This window comes from Homo sapiens, chromosome 9 (genome assembly GCF_000001405.40).
Source record: "Homo sapiens chromosome 9, GRCh38.p14 Primary Assembly".
In the NCBI taxonomy this organism is placed as follows: domain Eukaryota; kingdom Metazoa; phylum Chordata; class Mammalia; order Primates; family Hominidae; genus Homo; species Homo sapiens.
The window spans coordinates 136,672,722-136,690,324 of NC_000009.12; the positions used below are offsets into that span (position 1 = coordinate 136,672,722).

Here is a 17,603-nt window from a genome sequence, read left to right on the forward strand (position 1 = left end):
CTCACCTCCTGGCCACCCCTCCCAGACCCACTGCTGGGTGCCAGCTGGCAAAGGGGGCCTGGTGGAGCGGGCAGTCGTGGGGTGGGGAGGGGGTCCAAGGCAGAGGGGGTGGGCAGGTGGTTTCTGTGAGGCCACAGAGAGCTTTGTCCTGGGGACATGTTGGCCCCAACCAGAGGCCAAAGAGCAAATCTCTGGCCTCCTTCCCAGTAGCCTGAGGATCCCGGCACACTTGCCCGTTAGGCGACACCCCCACCCATCGATGGAAGTAGTATAGGGTGATGTGGGTCCACTCCTGGATAGGGAACACGGGTGGGTGGCGGTGCCTGCACCCTGGGCCTCTAGGCAGGGCAGCTGGGAAGACACAGCGTCGCCTCCACCGCCCTGGTCACCTGCCCGCCCTGTGAGTGACCACAGCTCCCCAGCCACTTCCAAGAGTGTGTTTATAAAAAAACAGCAACGGAGTACAGTGCTGACCCCACAGAGTCTTCCAGGCCAGCAGGAGCAGCAGGCCCCGATTCCCGGCTCCCTGTGGCCCAGGGTGCGTGAGTCTGGGACTCCTGGCCCTCCAGGCCCCTCCTCTCCCAGAGAGCCTGATGCAGCTTGTGGGCTGGACCCTGGAGCCCAGCTGCACCCTGGTGGGTCCCAGGCGGCTGAGCAGAGGGCTCGGACAGTGTGCGTCTGGCCTCGGGGTCCTCCCATCTGCTCCTGGGCCATCGGGGGCCTTGTGGCTCAGCCCACCAGCGGGCCACAGCCGCAAGCCTCATCTTTATCATCCCAGCTCCCAGAGGTGCCGTGGGCGCGAGTCCCTGCCCTCGAGCCCGGGGAGGGTCCAGCTGAGCCCCCTGCAGGGGACACCAGGGGCCTGTGTCTGAGGCCAGTGACAGAAGGGGCTTCCTGCTTCCCGGGCTGAGTGAGAGCTGGGGGAGCCGGACAGAGTGGTATTTGGAAGCCGGGAGGAGTCCCCTCTGCCCATCCTCCAGCCATCGGCTTCCACCTGCCCTCCCCAGGTCATGCCCTGCCGTGGTCTGGGCTACTGGGCCGGCTGCACGCCAGACCCCGCAGTGGCCCCGTTCTCCTGGGGGGTCTTGGAGATGTGGAGGAAGGTGGTCCTCATGGCCCGGTGGCAGGTGTCCACGAGCGCAGGGACGTCCGCCGCAGTGAGGCCGCTGGTGGGGATGGCTTCCAGCACCTGCACTGTGACTGTTCCTGTGGGGGAAGCAACAGACCTCAGTGGCCTGTGGGGAGCTGGGGCCCACCTCAGCCTGCTGCCCTGGCCTCGCCTCTCCCCAGCCCCCCACAGCCCCTCCCTGGGAAGCCCGAGGCCGGGCTCTTCCCCTGGACTCCCTAGCCGTGGTGGGTTATTTTAATTGCAGTAACGTTGCTGCAGTAAACCCCATGGCTGCCTGGCCTTCACGCCGCATTTTCGACAAGTCTGCGCTCCCCTGTTACTGCCCCCAGAAAGCCCCACTTCCTGATCAGCCCCTACCTCACTGCCTGGCCTCTGCCCTCCATACGGGGCGAGGGGCTGTGGGAGAGATGGAGCTGGGTTCCCCCACTGCTCTCCAACTTTGACCCCACTGTCCTGCCTGGGCACCAGGTGCCCACGTTCTGGGAACTGGCTGGAAGGGGCAAGAGGTCATGAGCCCCGCAGCCTGTGCCCCTGGGCTGCCTGGGTTCCATCTACCCTATGCGGGCATCAGCCTGGACACATGGGCTCAGAGGCCGCCCTCCAGGCCCCCAAGCTGTGTGCACAGCTGGGGTCCATCCGTGTGAAGTCTCTTGGAGCCTCAGTTTTCTCATCTGAAAAATGGGCCCAGCACCACCCATCTCACAGGGCCATGAGGCCATGAAGCCCACAGCTGGGACTCCAGCCTGAGTCACTCATTCGCCACATGGTCACCGTGTGGCCACGCCACGGGTGCCACCCGGAAATGGGAACGATGAGGGGCCCGGGGCTCCGTGACTGTAGGGTCAGGCGGGGCCTACACCCCGGGTGCACACATGTGGGGGTACCTGAAGTGAAGAACTTCTTCTTGGTGTTGTAGAAGGAGGAGAAGGAAGAGTACACCACGGGGACGATGGGCACCTGCAGGCAGGGAGACGCACAGCTGAGGCAGCCCTGGGGACAGGCCAGGCACACCCCAGGCTGCATGTGGTTGGGGAGCCCTGTCCTGCGGCCCACCCACCCCTGCCTTCGCTGCTGCCATGGGTCCTTGTGGCTGTCCTGCCCCTGGGACCTGGGATATGTGTCCTGCTCTGGTTGGCCCAGAGTTCCATAAGCTCATCCTGCAAATTTTTACTCATCTCCTCTAGGAAGCCCTCCTGAGCTAGCACGTGTTTGCCTGGTTCACACCTGTCCCCATATTGGGTCTGCAGCTAGCCAGGGGGGCAGGGCCCTGTCCGGTTTAGGAGGAGATTATGGCACTCTTCCCTGCCCACGCCTCTCTCCCAGTCCTCTCCATCTCAGGAAGCCAGTGAGGGAGGCAGCCCTAGCCCGGGGGAGGGGTGGAGCCTGCTGGTGTTCCTGGAAGTCACCGGGGTCAAATCCAAGGGCACTTGGGGGTGATCATTAACCCGAGGCAGCCAGGGAACCTCCAGGGGGCCAGCAGGTAGGCTGGGGACTGGCAGCAGGAAGGGAGGGGGCCAGCAGGTAGGCTGGGGACTGGGAGCAGGGAGGGAGGGGGCCAGCAGGTAGGCTGGGGACTGGCAGCAGGAAGGGAGGAGGCCAGCAGGTAGGCTGGGGACTGGCAGCAGGGAGGGAGGAGGCCAGCAGGTAGGCTGGGGACTGGGAGCAGGGAGGGAGGGGGCCAGCAGGTAGGCTGGGGACTGGCAGCAGGGAGGGAGGGGGCCAGCAGGTAGGCTGGGGACCGGGAGCAGGGACGGAAAAGCTGTGGGTCTCCTGGCTGAAGCTGCACTGCGGCCACCCCCAGCCACCCCATCACAGCCGCCCGTCTCCCCTCTGCTCTCCCAGAGCTGATCCAGCCCTCACTCTGCCCCCAAAGGGAAGTGACATCAGCCCCAGGCTGGGCAGGTGTGCCCCGCACCTGGGCAGGGCTGGGATCAGAGCCCAAGGATGCTCACCCAGCCCAGCGCCTCCGGGGCTCCCCAGGCCTCACGGCCTTAGCTGGGAGCCTCTGGAAGGAGGGCCCCCTCCCCACCACCTTGCACAGGGCCAGGCACTGGGGGCCACTAGTGGCCAGTGTGAGGGAAGGAGCTGAGACCCCTGCCCTGAGCGAGACCCCACCCAGATGGGTAAAAGCTCCTTCTCCTGACGCAACTCTTCCCAGCACAGCGGCAGAGGCAGGACAGGTGCTGGGGGAATGGCTATACCCTGGCCTCTCCCAGACACCCTAGGATGCACTGCACCCCTGGAGGCTGGGGACCAGGAAGTCCAGAGTCTGGAGGCGCTGCTTACAATGAGCTCCACCCACCCTGAGCTCTGGTCTGGCCTGATACTACACCAAAAGCCTGGCTTGTCCAGACCCACTGCCCATGCCCTGAAGCCCACCCCAGCCAGGCACAGGCCCAGAAATGAGCCTCCTGAGAGCTCTGCAGCAGAGGCGAGCGGCCCGGCTCCCCACCCCTCTACCTGCCCAGCCTCGCAGGCCAAGCACTGGGTGCCCACCAAGGGCAGCTGGTCACTCTGGGCTCTGTGTGGGCAAAAGGCCCAAGGGGCTGCCCTCCCTGGTCGGTCAGGGGGCAAGTGCAGGAAGGGGCAAGGAGGCCCTGTCCCCAACTCAGTGGGAGGAGTCCCTTGTGTGTCAAGGGTCCTCAGCTCGGCTGGTGGTCACCTGCTGCCTTAAGCCAGCCTGACCCCGCCTCCCCAGCCTGCACCCACCCAGGGAGGGCTGGGCTCAGCCTACCTGTGCCTGGACTGCCAGGTAGAAGGCGCCCTTCTTAAAAGGCAGCAGGTCCCCATTGTCGTTGCGAGTACCCTCGGGATAGATCCACACTTTGAGCTGCAGGGAGAGGAGAGCCTGGACTGACCTCACGCCCAGGCCACCCCAGAAAGGCCACGCCGCCTCGCCTCCTAAGAAGCCCCACTTCGCAAAGCAGCTGGCATGGGACCCCATCTGCGGAGCATGGATGATGTAGGGGTCTGGCGTGGGACCCCACCTGCGGAGCATGGATGATGTGGGGGTCTTGTTTTTTCTGCCAAAACCAAGTCACAAGCTGGCCCCTGCCTGGCCCCGCCCAGGCCCCACCCCAACCCCACCGAGCCCGGCCCTGCACACTCACGTTCTCCCTGACCATGCGCTCGCCCAGGTCGGCCATCACTGTCATGGCAGTGCTAGAGCGCTGCCGGTTGATGAAGAAGACGCCCCCGAGGTACATGATGAGGCCCACGGGCCCCAGGAAGAGCAGCTCCCGCTTGGCGATCTGCACGCAGCGCTCCGGAAGGACCTCCATGAGGCCTGGGAGACAGAGAGACAGAGACAGAGAGAGAGGGGGAGACAGCGTGCGCTGGAAGACAGCTGCTGAGCACCCACAGGCCTGCCTGGCACCCTGCCTTCTCCCTGGCTACCTGGACGGGTCGTGTGGCCTCCGAGCCTCTGTGTCTGGCCCTGAGGGAGGTACTGAGGCCGAGCTCGCCCAGGCACAGGCAGCCCTGTGTCCTCGTCCCCGGGACCCAGCCCCACACAGCCCCAGCTCAGCCGGCCCCACTCAAACCCCAGAAGCCACCCCCGAGGCCCGGCCTACCCATCATGTCCAGGATGCTCTGGTGGTTGGAGACGATGACACAGGGACGGGCCTCCTGCAGCCTGCGCGGGTCCCGCACCTCGAAGCGGAGCCCGTAAAAGTACTTGAAGCTTCGCACGAACCAGCCGATGATGCTGCAGGGGAGGCCACCATGAACACGGGTCCCACAGATCCCGCAGCCGAGGCTGGGGCGCGAAGGCCTGGGGGTGGGGTGTGGAGGAGGCTGGGGAGGGGCCCTCCTGGCACGGGGCAGGAGACCGGGAGACACAGGGGAGGGAGCCCCTGAAGCGGACAGAGTCCCGGGCCCGGCTCACCCACCTGGACGGCTGCCCTGCCTCCGTCTCCCCAGCAACAGAGGAAAACCCAGAGCCTCTGGAACTCGGATGCTAGGAGCATGGGAAGGCGCCCACTTCCAAATCCACATCCAGGGCCCACCCAGCCCTCATCCACCCCACAGGGGACCCAGCCGGAAAGGAACTGGCACTGGCTCTCACGTCCGCTATGAAGGACCCACGTCGGGGAGAGCAGCCTCTGCACCCCAGCAGAGGAAATGGGGCCCCACACACCCTGGGGAAGGTCACTGGCCCCTCAAGGCAGGGCCACATCAGGAAGAAAGTGTCGGCGCCAGTGGAGACCTCTGAAACGACCTCCGAAAGGTTCTTCCAGAAAAGAGCCGAGACCGAGACCCTCTCTCACCCCTACCCTACAGAATCAGGCCGGTTCCCTTTCCCCGTGAAGAGGCGGCGAGGGGCTCGGGGCTTGTCTGAGGTCACACCAGGAGCAGCAGCAGAGCCAGGGTCTGGGCCACCTGAGCCCTGGCCACAGCAGCCCCCACTCTGGCAGGGGCCCAGCCCACTGGGGGCTGCCCTTGGAGCACCTGCAAATGTGAGGTGGCCTTGTCCAAGCAGCCCGTCATGGTTGGGACCAGGGATGTCCAAGGGGTACCCGAAGACTCTGACCAGCTCCGAGCGTCCCAACCTCTGCCCTGCTGTGCTGCCAGGAAGCTCTGGGCACACCCCAGATAGGGCACCCCATCACAGGGCAGCCGGCGGGGATGGAGCCAGGAGGACGGAGCTCCACTCCGAAGCTCCAGCAGGGGTGGATGGCCGGGGCAAGGCTGTGCCAGCGCTGACTGGGGGGCTGCCAGTGCTGCTCCCCTCTCCATGCAGACTAGTGCCCCCCACCATTTGATCCCCCAGCAGTCCTAAGGGCCCCACACTTTCTACAGATGAGTCTGAGTAACTGCCCCAGGCCACAGAGCAGAGATTCAAAGCCGGGGCCTTCTCTCAAAGCCATACTGGTGGGGATTTTTGTTGTTTTAACAGGGTCTTGCTCTGTCACCCAGGCTCCCCTTGCTCTGTCTTGCTCTGTGACACAATGTGTCACATTGTGCAGTGTCACAATCTGGGCTCACTCCAGCCTCCACCTCCTGGGCTCCTCCCACCTCAGGCTCCTGACTAGCTGGGACCACAGACGTGAGCCACCACACCTCGCTAGTTTTTGTATTTTTGGTACAGATGGGCTTTCACCATCTCTGGCCAGGCTGGTCTCGAACTCCTAGGCTCAAACAACCTGCCGACCTCGGCCTCCCAAAGTGCTGGGCTTACAGGCCTGAGCCAACTCGCCCGGCCTTTAAAAAAAAATTGTGGTAAAATACACGTAACATAAAATGTATCTCCTTGGCCTTTTCCGGGTGCACAGTTCATGGGCGCTGGGCACATTCGGTGTCTAGCAGCCATCTCCTCCCTCTATCTCCAGAACTCTCCACCTTCTCTGGCTGACGTCTGTTCCCATGCGACACAAACCCCTGTCCCCTCCCCAGCCCTGGCACTCTGCCCTTCCATGTGTGAGCCCAGGCCTGCGGCAGCACCACCTCAGGCTGATGGGGCAATGCTCATGACCCCCTGTTGCAGATGGGGAAACTGAGTCAAGGGGGGCCTAATGGTTAATTCTGGTGATGAGTCCAGCCGTCCGTCCCTGGACTTGGAAGCCTGGGGCCTCCTCAGATCTGCCTTCCTCAGCCAACTCTAGATATCTCCTCTCCAGGCCGCGCCGGCCACCGTCCCCTCCCACCCAGAAGGCACACCCGGGCTGGTAGCACCCGCACACTCAGGGGAACTGCAGGGCTGTTTTGCCTCCACACTCATTTGCGCAATCCAGCTTCCCGGACCCCTGTGACGCTCCAAGAAGACGAGGAGGCAAAAGCCGGCAGTTCACCAACAGGAAACACAGAACTGTCTGGTGCTAGCAAGACGGCCGTGTCGCCAATCAAAGAAGCGCAAATGGAAACAAGAGACTGTCCTCATCCTTCCCCCTGGCACAGATTAAAACGCCTGATAACAGGAGGTGCCAGCCAGGGTGTTGGGAACAGGCCCAGCGGCTGGCAGGAGTGAGGAGTCGCACAGACAAGATACTTCTGTGGAGGGCAGGTTGGCAGGCCCGGCCAGAGCCCTGAGGAAACCTGGCCCCTCCCCTCTCAGAATCTTCCAGGAATTCGCCCGACGGCTGGAGTGAGAAGCCTGTGGTGCTGAAGTGTGCAGTGAATTAGGAAAACCTGAAAATGCTTAAATAGCCACCAGTAGAAAGAGGGAAAGTAAATTAGGGTCCATTTCACAGACAGCTGGGGCGCGGGGAAAGAACAGGACAGGTCCACACTCATCTCCTGTGAAGGACATGTGTATGATTTCTAGCAGCAGCCAAGACACACCTGCAATTCCAAAGCTAGCTGCCTGCAGGAGGCTCGGGCCACATCTGAAAGGGACATTGGTTCCCTCTGGTAGTGACATTGGCCAGTTCCATCTTTTATTTACTTTTTTATTTTTGAGACAGGGTCTCACTCTGTCACCCAGACTGGAGTGCAGTGGTGTGATCTCAGCTCACTGCAACCTCTGCCTCCCGGGTTCAAGCAATTCTCCTGCCTCAGCCTCCTGAGTAGCTGGGATTACAGGTGCCTGCCACCAGGCCTGGCTAGTTTTTGTATTTTTAGTAGAGACGGGGTTTCACCATGTTGGCCAGGCTGGTCTCGAACTCCTGACCTCAGGTGATCCTCCCACCTCGGCCTCCCAAAGTGCTGGGATTACAGGTGTGAGCCACCGCGCCCGGCCAGCTAGTTTCTTAGTGTTAACAACTGCATCTTGGTGATGTAAGATGTTAACAAGGGAGGAAACTGGTGAGGGCCACATGGGGTCCCCCGTAATATCTTTGCAACTTCTCTGTAAATCTGAAATTATTAAAAAATAAGATCTTCATTTATTTTTTATTTTTTTTGAGACGGAGTCTTGCTGTCACCTAGGCTGGAGTGCAGTGGCGAGATCTCAGCTCACTGCCATTTCCACCTCCCGGCAAGCGATTCTCCTGCCTCAGCCTAGCAAGTAGTTGGGACTACTGGTGTGCGCCACCACACCCGGCTAATTTTTGTATTTTTAGTAGAGACGGGGTTTCACCATGTCGGCCAGGCTGGTCTCAAACTCCTGACCTCATGATCCGCCCGCCTCGGCCTCCCAAAGTGCTGGGATGACAGGAAGGAGCCAGCGCGCCGAGCCCTCCTCTGTTTTGATTGTGGTATAACACGCACCACCTAAACAATATAATTGTACCCATTTCTCAGCACACGGTTCCGTGGCACTCGGCGCATTCACTGCCGTGTGGCCAGCACCACCCTCTAGCTCCAAAACTTTTCCTTTTTTTTTTTTTTTTAATCTAAGCTGCTTAGGGGTTGGATCGTGCACTGATACTTCTCTCAGCTGTGAAAGACACGGGGTACAAACCCCCGCCCAGCAGGCGGTGCTGAGCAGGCGCTGTGTCCCGCCGCCCACCACCGGCCCCTGGTCCTCAGGCCAGACAGATGGACGGACGGAGGCTGCCCCAGGCCAGCGGGAGGCTGTGGCTCTCTAGAACTCTGCAGCCCACAGTGTGGCTGGGGGAGAAAGGTATACCCTGGGGGTGGAAGAAAGTTGAAGTTGATGTCCTCAAGGGGACAAAGGGCCATCTGCACCAGCCACGTGAGGCCACCGCACTTCCCCCGCGGTGTCCCGTACATAGTTCAGAGCTTTCTGAAAGCTGGTGGGAAAGTCTAGACTCACTTTACAAGCGGTTCCTGGATGGGCGGGTGGCTCACGCCTGTAATCCCAGGACTTTGGGAGGCCAAGGCGGGCAGATCACCTGAGGTCAGGAGTTCAAGACCAGCCTGGCCACCATGGTGAAATCCCGTCTCTATTAACAATACAAAAATCAGCCAGACGTGGTGGCAGCTGCCTGTAATCCCAGCTACTCGGGAGGCTGAGGCGGGAGAATCACCCGAACCAGGGAGGAGGAGGTTGCGTTGAGCCGAGATGGTGCCATTGTACTCCAGCCTGGGTGACAGAGCAAGACTTCATCTCACACACACAAAAAAAGTGTTTCCTCAGAGAGGAAGGGACTGAACTAAGCCCTGCAGAGGCTCCTGCGGCCGAGGACACCCCCGGGAACCCAAGCAGAGAAAAATCGCCTTCTAAGCACAGAGGCCCCCTGCACCTCCTGTGTGCAAAGCCTCGAGACAAGGGCTCTACATGAGTCACCTCCTTTTGTTCTGACAGTAACCCCCCAGGGTAGGTACGATCATAACCCCCCTCTTCAGATGAGGAATGCGAGGTTCAAGGTTCAGCAAAGTTAAGTGACTTCCCCAAGGCCACACAGCAGGGAAGCCAGAACAGGCCTGAGCCCCCCTCGGAACCCTGCTTCGGAGCTGGCAGAGTCGTGCTGGGGCGGCGCGGGCCCCCAGTAGGACTCTAGGAGCTCATCCTGAGGCTCCCTCCCTCCCCCGGGCTCCGCAGTCCCCTCAACCCCTCAGCAGGGCTGGGAGCTTGCTCCGGCCTCCCCCAGCAGGAAGCTCAGAGCAGCCACTGTCCCCAGGCTTCCCCCACCAGCTTGCCCAGCCCAGTCCCTGTCCTGTGCCAAACACCCTGCCTCACTCAAACTCCCCTCCCACCAACCACAGGCGGACGAGGGGCTGCCCTGTCCTTTCCTCAAAGCCTGGGGCAGGTGTCGCTGTGCCAGACCAGGACACAGTCACACGGACCCCAAATCCAGGTCCTGGACTCCTTGCCTCCCCGGGGAGCAGGGGCAAAGCCAAGGTTGCCGGAAGCCTGGAGCTCAGGGAGCCCTGCTGGCCACTGCCAGGCGGGTGACTTGTGCCAGCTTTGCCCAGCAAGGCAGGAGGCCCAGGGAGCAGCCCAGCACCCAAAACTAAGTGAGGCTGAGCCCAGACTGGGCCCTTCTGGTGGCATCGGAGCAGTGGGCTCCTGCTGAGGGAAAGCCCAGGTGCTGCCTCAGTCTTTTTCAGGAGCCCTCAGACTGGAGTCCACTGGCCTCGAGCGAAGCCCCGTAAGAGACCCCTCTGGGGTCTGCAGGAACCCAGCCTCCTCAGACCGCCTGAGCTCAGCCCCCAGGCACCTGGGCTGCTCCCACACTCAGGCTCTGGGCCTGACGGGGATTTGGATCCCATTTCCCTTCTTCCCAGCTATGGCCTCGGGCAAAGCATTTGACCTCCCAGGCTCTTGTGGAAGGGTGTGCAGGCTTACATTCTATGAGGCGGAGACACCCGGGGCACCATCGGGCCAGGGCAGGACCTCCACCAACAGTGGCTGTGATGGGGATGACTAGGGGGTGGGGGGGAGGGGGGGAAGAATCCAAAATGGGTGGGGCCGGGCACGGTGGCTCATGCCTGTGACCCCAGCACTTTGGGAGGCTGAGGCAGACGGATCACTTGAGCTCAGGGGTTTAAGACCAACCTGGGCAACAGAGCGAGACCTTGTCTCAAAAAATAAAAAAAAAAGTCCAAAGTAAATCGAAGCAAAAGGCCCCTCAATGTGCCTAAGCCCCCAATCCCACCAGCACCTGGCTCAGGCAGCTGGGAGGCGGTTCTAGGTCAGGGCCCAGGCCACTGGCCAGGCTGTCCTCGTGGAAGGCCACTCGCTGACCCTTGCCTTGGTCCTGGGCTGGGACACTCCCAGGAGACCCAGCAGCTCTCTGAGCCAGGACTTGCCCATCTTCAGCTGCGTGAGCTCATTCAGGGCAGCCCCCTCCCCCTCTGCTGGGGCTCGCTGGGGCCACCGGGGACAGGGACCCCAGTGAGGAATCTGGTGTTTTCCGACAAGTGTCATCCAAGCTGCAGCACAAGGCGGGATGGGTCCATAGGGGTGCGGGGTCCAGCCCACACAAACACCCGGATGTGGGGGGTCCCCGTGACTCCTCAAAGCGGATGTGTAGGAGTGCAGGTGTGGCGGGCGGGAAGGAGGTGGGGCCAGAGAAGCCCTCCCATCCCTCAGTCAGGACAGCTCCAATTTCTGGGCCTGCACAGAGACACCTGGAGCGCTCTGGAGGACCAAGGTCACGGTCTCCCTTGGGACTAAGACCCCAGTGCTGTGGTGACACAGGGCCCCCGATGGCATCTGTCATCACCGGACATCTGTCAGAGGACCCGGGACCATGCACTGGCCGGCAAATCTGGGTCAAACCTTGCCCGACATCCCAAGTCCCCTGTGCGTTCTCCCCACACTGGGCGTGTGGTGTGGGCACGTGCTCCATGGGGACAGGAGCCTGCCCTGCAGCCAGGAGCTGCCACAACCACTAGGTCCCGGCCTCCAGATACCAGCAGAGCGTGGGGTTCAATTCGGGGAGCATCCTTAAGAGGAAGAGCACCCCTTTTCTGTCTGGGACCCTGAAAATGGTGGGAATAGAGGTCAAAGGAGCCGGAAACTAACTGCTGTTTCCCTAGGCTGCCCATCTGGTCTCCTTTGCTGTATGAAAAAGTAAACTTCTCTGTGGATTAAGCTGCTGTCTTGAGGGTTTTCTGATCCTGTAGCTGAACCCAGCTGTAGGACACGGAGCCGCTCTGGGCTTTGCTTTCCTCTGTCGAATGGATGTACCAGGGCATCGGCCCCTGGTGAGGAAACGTCCCCTGCAGCTCCACCGTAACTGCGCACACAGGGAAGGGCTCAGGGGACACCCCCTGCCTGGAAGGGGTCCGTGGTCTCAGCCCCAAGCCCGGTGGGAACGAAGGCTGCCTCAGAGGTTCTAGTCCCATCACTGTCCCTCACACGCTCAGAACTACGGTGTAGACGGTGGGGGTCTCTTGGGTGCCGCCTGGAACCCCGTGGGGAGGGGCTGGGCCTCAGCCAGGGCAGCCATTGCTCAGGGGCAAGATGGAGCGCCCCTCCCAGAGCTCAGGCCTGCCGCAGGGCTGCCTCACCAGCCCCAAGCGCTGGGCTGGGAACAAGGGGAAAGGGAAAAGCAGGTACTCTGGAGTCACTGTCAGTGGGTTCGAACCCCAGTTCCACCCCATCCTGGCTTGGGGACCCTGCCCCAGTTTCAAGTTGCTTATCTCAGCCTCAGTGTCCTTATTTGTAACACAGAGCACACGCGAATCCCTGTTCCTGAGGCTGGAGGCACCCGTGGCGTACAGCAGGAACAGAGGCCGAGTATCCCCTCCTTCCCTTCCAGCCCCCCGGGTCCCTTCCCTGGAGTGACAAAGCGCCTGCTCTTCATCTGCCTTTCTCACCCCTCCCGACGGCCCCCACGGAGGGAACGCACGTTCGCAACAGCCCCACTCTTAGCCATTGCTGGGAGTCTTGGAAGTCATCAGGGACCCTGGGGCCTGGGGAGCACGTGCAGAGGTGTGGGGGAAGGTAGCCATGGAGCCCCAGGCCTCTCCTCCAGACTGCCCTGCCCTCTGGCCCTCCCTTCTCTTCAGGGACCAAAGCAGGAACAAAGCACCTGCTGTTAGTAGCCAGTGTCCCGGAAGCCACTACTCCACAGGCCTGAGCCTGGGTGCTGCCCTGGAGAGGTGAGGGCGGCAGGAGGGTCCCATCCAAGCACCATCAGAGGCCCCAGGTCCCGAGGACACCCAGGTTAGCCAGAATCTCCAAGCTGAGATGGGGACAGGGCCCAGTGGGGCAGCAGGGCCAGTGCCAGCCAACCCAGCCTGCCAGGTCCATAGAAAGGGCAGCAGGTGAACTGTGATTTGGTCCCTGGAAAACAGCTAGGAAGTCCAGGCAGAGGCCCCTGCAGAACAAGCCAGGCTTTCTCACACGAGGAGGCCGCCGATGAAGAGGCCCGTGGCCTGTGGCCTGGCTCAGTAGTGGGGTCTGCTCCAGGGTCTCCTAAGTCAGGTGCCCCATCATTTCTGCCAAAAGAACAGGACCCCGTCCCCTGTCCACACCCCAGGACACGCCCAGCACAGGATGCCCTGCAGGCATCAGAACCACACAAGCCATTTCCTCGGGGTGGGGGGCACCCCAAGGAACCCACAGACTGGCCCCTCCTCAGCTGGGAAAGCCGCACCCTCGCCCCTACTCTGAAGCACCCCAGGGGCTGAGGGGGGCCCCTCACAGAGACCCCTGCCTACAGGGGATCCCAGGGCCAGAACCACAGGTGAGGCCTTCACAGATTCCAGCACAGGTGCCCAGAGCCCAGCCCCCAGGAACTCCCTGTTTCTGCAAACTGCCTTCCTCGCTGAAGGGTGCTCCACTGGGGACGTCAGCGCCAGTCACCACCTGGGCCAGCCCTGGAGTGTGCGCTCCCCGGGACCCCGGCCTGGGCCACCTGGCCCACATCACCACTGGTCACACACGTCTGGCTGAGCAGCCAGCAGGCCCTTCTCGGACTCTCCATGCTCACCATCAGGCCCAGGGTCCTCCTTCATATTCCTGGAGCTTCTGGGGCTCCGTTGGAAGCCATGACTGTAGGCCCGTTCCAGCAGCCTCAGTGCCCTCCCAGGGCTGGCAAGGACAGCGAGTGCAGGGAGCTAGCAAACCCTCACCCACTGCCCCTGGAACCACGGGGAAGGGGGCCTCTGGGGCCACAATGCCCCCACCCCAGGCCATTGCAAAAGCCACTGGCTGGGCAGTCCAAACAGGGCAGGGAGAAATGTAGCAACAGCCTGGGGACGGCTAACAGGGAGAGGGGGCAGGCAAGAGCCTTCTCCAGCAGCCACCCCGCCCAGGAGCAGGCAGCCCCCGCCGTCTTTGGCAGCCCAGTCTGACCTCTGGCCCCCAACCCCAGCCTGGCAAAACCAAGCTCCCACCTTCTGGAAGGCGTCCAGGGGAAAATTTCAGCCCCGCCGAACCCTAGTCCTAACTCTTCCTTCCCTTCGCTTGGAAGCTGGGCCCCCGGAGCTGTAGGCCAGGGGCGCGCTCCCCAGCACGGAAGCAGGTCCCCTCCGGGTCCCCCACCTCCCTGCGAAGAGGAAAGGGAGAGAAAGGGGAACCCGCCCCACAGGTGCGCCCATCACCGGGCGGACAGTCAGGAGGGGGTCGGAGGGAGGCCGAGGGGTGCCCCCACGCCGTCGTGCGCCCTGATCAATAGCCCTGGGGCAAGTCCCCGCCGCCCCGGCCTCGGTTTCCCCGCTCAGGAAGCAGGGCTGAGCCTCTCCCAGCGCGGACCGGCCCCCTTTCTCTCCGAAAGCTGCTCCACCCCCGGAACCCCACGCCGGGCTGCAGGGACGCGGCGGAGGCCGAAACCGGTGTAGACGCCCGGGGCCAGGGCGGGGGGTGGGGTGCTGGGCACTGTGACGCCGGCTCCTTGACCCCGTGACTCCGGGACCCCCTGACTCCGGGACCCCCTCCTGTGCCTGCCGCCGGCCCAGGCGCGCTCTCCCCGGAGCCCCGGAGCGGGGCGGGACGGGCGGGGCAGGAAGGAGGGAAGCCCAGAAGAAAGTTAGGGAAGCGGAAGCGGCGCGGCGGTTCCCCGGCCCCTCCCGGCGGCCCCCGGCCTTGCCTCATGTTCTCCACCGTCCGGCCGCCGTGGCGCAGCAGGCAGACGAGCGAGGCCACGGCGGACACCGTGAAGCACAGCGCGCAGTACAGGGCGACCTTGGCGTAGAACTCGGCCGCGCGGCTCAGCTGCACCAGCAGCAGCAGCAACAGCAGCGCCGCGGCCAGACACGGCCACAGCTCCATGGCCCGGCCCGGCGCCCGACGGCGCCGCCAGCTCGCTCCCGCTCCCGCTCCCGCTTCTCCCCCGCGCGCTCAGGCCCCTTATTGCGAGGGCGGCGGGGCTGGGCGGGGCGGGGCGCGGCGTGGGGGAGGAGCGCGCGGCAGGGAAGGGCTAGGTGCGGCGCCCCGCCCCGACACTGTCCCCAACAACGCCCCGACACGGTCCCCTCACCAGGCCCCGCCCCGCCACTGTCCCCAACCCCGCCCCGACACGGCCCCCCCTTCCCGCCCTGGGTCACCCGGCCCGGACCTCCCCTCCACGCTCCCTCCCCACAGCCTTCTGCCAGGTTACCGAGGCTCTGGCGCTCTGCTCCCACCCTCCCGGTCCCAGGGGACCCCCCCATCATGGCTTGCCGGTGGCTCGGGCTCTGGCGCTGCCCCCCATGGTCTGGGCCTCCTGCCCCGCCCGGTGCCCCCTCCCCCCGCTGCCGGGGCAGCCACAGGCTCCCGCGCGCAGAACCACAGCTCCCCAAGGGCGTAAAACCAGCGGGGATGCGCCCGTGCCAGGCCGGTGGCCACGCAAAGGGCCGCCGGAACCGCCCCCGAGTGACCAGTGGCCACCTGGCAGAAAGCCTGGCTCTTAGGGTGTTCTCGGTCCCCTGCGGGGAGACTCGTGGGGGCGCGCAGGCCAACTGGGGCGTGTGTCTGGGCGGGGCTGGGTTGCCCCACCCTGGGTGCCAGAAGTAGCCTTGTCACCAGGGACGCTCCGGGGGCAGGCGAGGTGGGTGTCAGGTGGCGGCGTTCACATCCGCTTGGCAGCACGGCCAGCGTGGCAGGGCAAGGTGCAGCTGGGACAAGGGCAGCAGTCACCTGGCCCGGCCCCCACCCGGCGTCCCACCTCAGGGAGCAGATGGAGATTGAAAAGCAGTTTCCTGGGGTCCCTCCTCATAGGGACTCTTGGGTTTGCTGCAGTTGCGGGAGTGCTGGCCGCCCTGCGCTCTAACGGGTCAGCAGGGGAGCACGGCCCCTCTTTTTTCAGATGCAGAGTTGAGCTGTTAAAACATTTCCCTGAACATTGTAACCACCCCCCAAACTGTACTGAGAGAATGACAAATACAGAAACTGCTCTTCAAATGAATGGGGAACTGCGGTCCTGAAGGACGTGGGGTCTCGCTGCCTGGGCTCAGCAGCCCCTGCCCAGGCGGTCCCAGCTTTTCTTGAAAGTGGAGACACATCCTTTTGCCTTAGGCCTGTAGGCATCTTACAGCGAAACCCAGGAGAGCATTTTCCAGCCCAGTCTCCTTCCAGATCCATATGGGCTTCATCTGGAATCAGCTTGGAGGGCCTGGCTTGACCTCTTTCCACGCTTGGAGCCGGAACTGCACACCCCGCAGCCGGGAGGTCTGAGAGCTGCACTGCTGTGCCTCTGAGAGGCTGAGAGGTGGCTGCTGACGGCTGCGGGGTTTTCATCTTCCAGGGCAGATGAGGTGGGTGCACCCTGCAGACAGGAGTGCCGCTGCCGGGAGCTGGGGGATGCGGGGGTGTGGGCTGGGGTCCCAGGTGGACTTCCTGGAGGAGTGGGGCTTCACAGCACCTTCAGCTGGAGGCTCTGTGCACCCAGGTCCCGAGCAGGTTGTACCCTGGCTGTGGAATCCAGTCCTCACAACCATCAGGCCTGTCCAGGGGCTTTACATGCCAGCCCCCTTCTTGTCCTTTACCTCCCAGCCCACCGACCTTTCCAGGGTGGCCACCATCTTCCTGCACCCCTAGGTGACTGTGTGTGTGTTGGACACCTCTCCCTCCTCTCCTCCCCCCGGAATGGAGCCCGTGGGGCCTCATCTGTTTTGTGCACCATGTGCGACCAGCACTCAGGCCAATGTCTGGCACATAGCAGGTGCTCAGCACACACTTTCCATAGTAGCAAAGGCATCCCCATTTTACAGAGGGAAAACTGAGGCTCTCAAGGGTGAACACCAGACAGCCGGGACGTGACAGAGGAAAAGAGGCTGACTCTGAGCCGGAAGACTCCTGCCAGGGCTGGCAGGAACAGTGCCAGGGCAGCACACGGTGACCCTGTTGCCTCCCCAGACAAGGTGGGGTTTTGCCCACTGCTCTCCTGAAGAGGGTGAGACCTAATTTCACCTCCTCCCTCTTCTCTGCACCTTGCAGAAGTGTTGAGAGAAACGTCCACTTTTCCTCCGACAAGATCCAAGAGGAGGCGGGCCAGGGACTTGGGGAGTGATGAGGAAGTACTGTGTATTTTAATATAATGCCACATTTGGGAAGCTAACACATTATTTGTTTCTAGAAGTAAAGCTCCAGAGAATCTTATGGGCTGGCAGAGATGCCAAGAAAAGAGATTTTCTTCTTCTTTTTTTTTTTTTGAGACGGAGTCTCGCTCTGTCACCCAGGCTGGAGTGCAGTGGCGTGATCTCGGCTCACTGCAAGCTCTGCCCCCTGGGTTCAAGAGATTCTCCTACCTCAACCTCTTGAGTAGCTGGGATTACAGGCGCCCGACACCACACCCGGCTAATTTTTGTATTTTTAATAGAGACAGGGTTTTGTCATGTTGGCCAGGCTGGTCTCAAACTCTTGACCTCAAGTGATCTGCCCGCTTCGGCCTCCCGAAGTGCTGGGATTACAGATGTGAGCCACCGCGCCCAGCCTAGAAAAGAGATTTTCTCTAAAATGAGTGCTTCTCACCCAGGGAGGGCTGGCATGGGCTCTGCTGGGTTTATCCCAAGAGTGTGGTGAGGGACTGGGAGCCTGGTTCTGTTGTGTAGGGATGGCCAGCGCCCTGTCTGACCCTTGAGATGCCCTCAGCTACCAGGGGCAGGGAGTGCTGGGCCGGTGGTGGCCGTGCGGCTGTACCCACCCAAGGACAGCTGAGAGTCCTCCTGGGCATTTGCTGGGACCCGGCCAGACAGCGCATGACACCAGGTGACAGTGAGAGCTGAGTTGGCACCGGCTGCTGAGGCCCGGGGAGCCCAC

At 62.6% G+C, this 17,603-nt stretch overlaps 1 protein-coding gene across 3 annotated transcripts, besides 9 other annotated features; it reads right to left on the reverse strand.

Moving 5' to 3' along the window:
* On the reverse strand, positions 422-14,736 carry AGPAT2 (1-acylglycerol-3-phosphate O-acyltransferase 2). Of its 3 annotated transcripts, none has more exons than NM_006412.4 (6): positions 14,455-14,736; positions 4,702-4,835; positions 4,240-4,415; positions 3,864-3,959; positions 2,014-2,086; positions 422-1,206 (listed from the first exon to the last, which is right to left on the reverse strand). In NM_006412.4, exons 1-6 carry the CDS (start codon positions 14,634-14,636, stop codon positions 1,031-1,033), a joined length of 837 nt encoding a protein of 278 aa, NP_006403.2. In that variant the 5' UTR covers positions 14,637-14,736; the 3' UTR covers positions 422-1,030. The 3 variants fall into 3 exon arrangements, with proteins under 3 accessions (NP_006403.2, XP_047278592.1, NP_001012745.1); XM_047422636.1 differs by lacking the exon at positions 14,455-14,736 and adding an exon at positions 13,357-13,475; NM_001012727.2 differs by lacking the exon at positions 3,864-3,959.
* Positions 2,054-2,553: an enhancer, noted in NCBI's record as "H3K4me1 hESC enhancer chr9:139569227-139569726 (GRCh37/hg19 assembly coordinates)". NCBI's record gives its function as "activates a minimal SCP1, AML or CMV promoter by ChIP-STARR-seq in primed H9 embryonic stem cells {active_cell/tissue: H9 hESC(primed)}" and the evidence as "EXISTENCE:reporter gene assay evidence [ECO:0000049][PMID:30033119]".
* Positions 6,108-6,807: an enhancer, noted in NCBI's record as "H3K4me1 hESC enhancer chr9:139573281-139573980 (GRCh37/hg19 assembly coordinates)". NCBI's record gives its function as "activates a minimal SCP1, AML or CMV promoter by ChIP-STARR-seq in naive H9 embryonic stem cells {active_cell/tissue: H9 hESC(naive)}" and the evidence as "EXISTENCE:reporter gene assay evidence [ECO:0000049][PMID:30033119]".
* Positions 6,808-7,507: an enhancer, noted in NCBI's record as "H3K4me1 hESC enhancer chr9:139573981-139574680 (GRCh37/hg19 assembly coordinates)". NCBI's record gives its function as "activates a minimal SCP1, AML or CMV promoter by ChIP-STARR-seq in naive H9 embryonic stem cells {active_cell/tissue: H9 hESC(naive)}" and the evidence as "EXISTENCE:reporter gene assay evidence [ECO:0000049][PMID:30033119]".
* Positions 9,029-9,891: an enhancer, noted in NCBI's record as "H3K27ac-H3K4me1 hESC enhancer chr9:139576202-139577064 (GRCh37/hg19 assembly coordinates)". NCBI's record gives its function as "activates a minimal SCP1, AML or CMV promoter by ChIP-STARR-seq in primed H9 embryonic stem cells {active_cell/tissue: H9 hESC(primed)}" and the evidence as "EXISTENCE:reporter gene assay evidence [ECO:0000049][PMID:30033119]".
* Positions 13,341-14,202: an enhancer, noted in NCBI's record as "H3K27ac-H3K4me1 hESC enhancer chr9:139580514-139581375 (GRCh37/hg19 assembly coordinates)". NCBI's record gives its function as "activates a minimal SCP1, AML or CMV promoter by ChIP-STARR-seq in primed H9 embryonic stem cells {active_cell/tissue: H9 hESC(primed)}" and the evidence as "EXISTENCE:reporter gene assay evidence [ECO:0000049][PMID:30033119]".
* Positions 13,341-14,492: a biological region, named in NCBI's record as "H3K27ac-H3K4me1 hESC enhancer GRCh37_chr9:139580514-139581375".
* Positions 13,923-14,492: a silencer, noted in NCBI's record as "silent region_20535". NCBI's record gives its function as "represses an Ori minimal core promoter by ATAC-STARR-seq in GM12878 lymphoblastoid cells {active_cell/tissue: GM12878}" and the evidence as "EXISTENCE:reporter gene assay evidence [ECO:0000049][PMID:35858748]".
* Positions 14,713-14,912: a silencer, noted in NCBI's record as "silent region_20536". NCBI's record gives its function as "represses an Ori minimal core promoter by ATAC-STARR-seq in GM12878 lymphoblastoid cells {active_cell/tissue: GM12878}" and the evidence as "EXISTENCE:reporter gene assay evidence [ECO:0000049][PMID:35858748]".
* Positions 15,383-15,462: a silencer, noted in NCBI's record as "silent region_20537". NCBI's record gives its function as "represses an Ori minimal core promoter by ATAC-STARR-seq in GM12878 lymphoblastoid cells {active_cell/tissue: GM12878}" and the evidence as "EXISTENCE:reporter gene assay evidence [ECO:0000049][PMID:35858748]".

Bases quoted from the DNA above. Each gene is read 5' to 3' on its own strand.
- AGPAT2 (NM_006412.4), bottom strand. From the start codon at position 14,636: ATGGAGCTGTGGCCGTGTCTGGCCGCGGCGCTGCTGTTGCTGCTGCTG. The intron at 4,836-14,454 runs GCAAGGCCGGGG...CCTCCCCTGCAG, and splicing joins CGGACGGTGGAGAACATGAG to CATCATCGGCTGGTTCGTGC. The intron at 4,416-4,701 runs GTAGGCCGGGCC...TCTGTCTCCCAG, and splicing joins GAGCATCCTGGACATGATGG to GCCTCATGGAGGTCCTTCCG.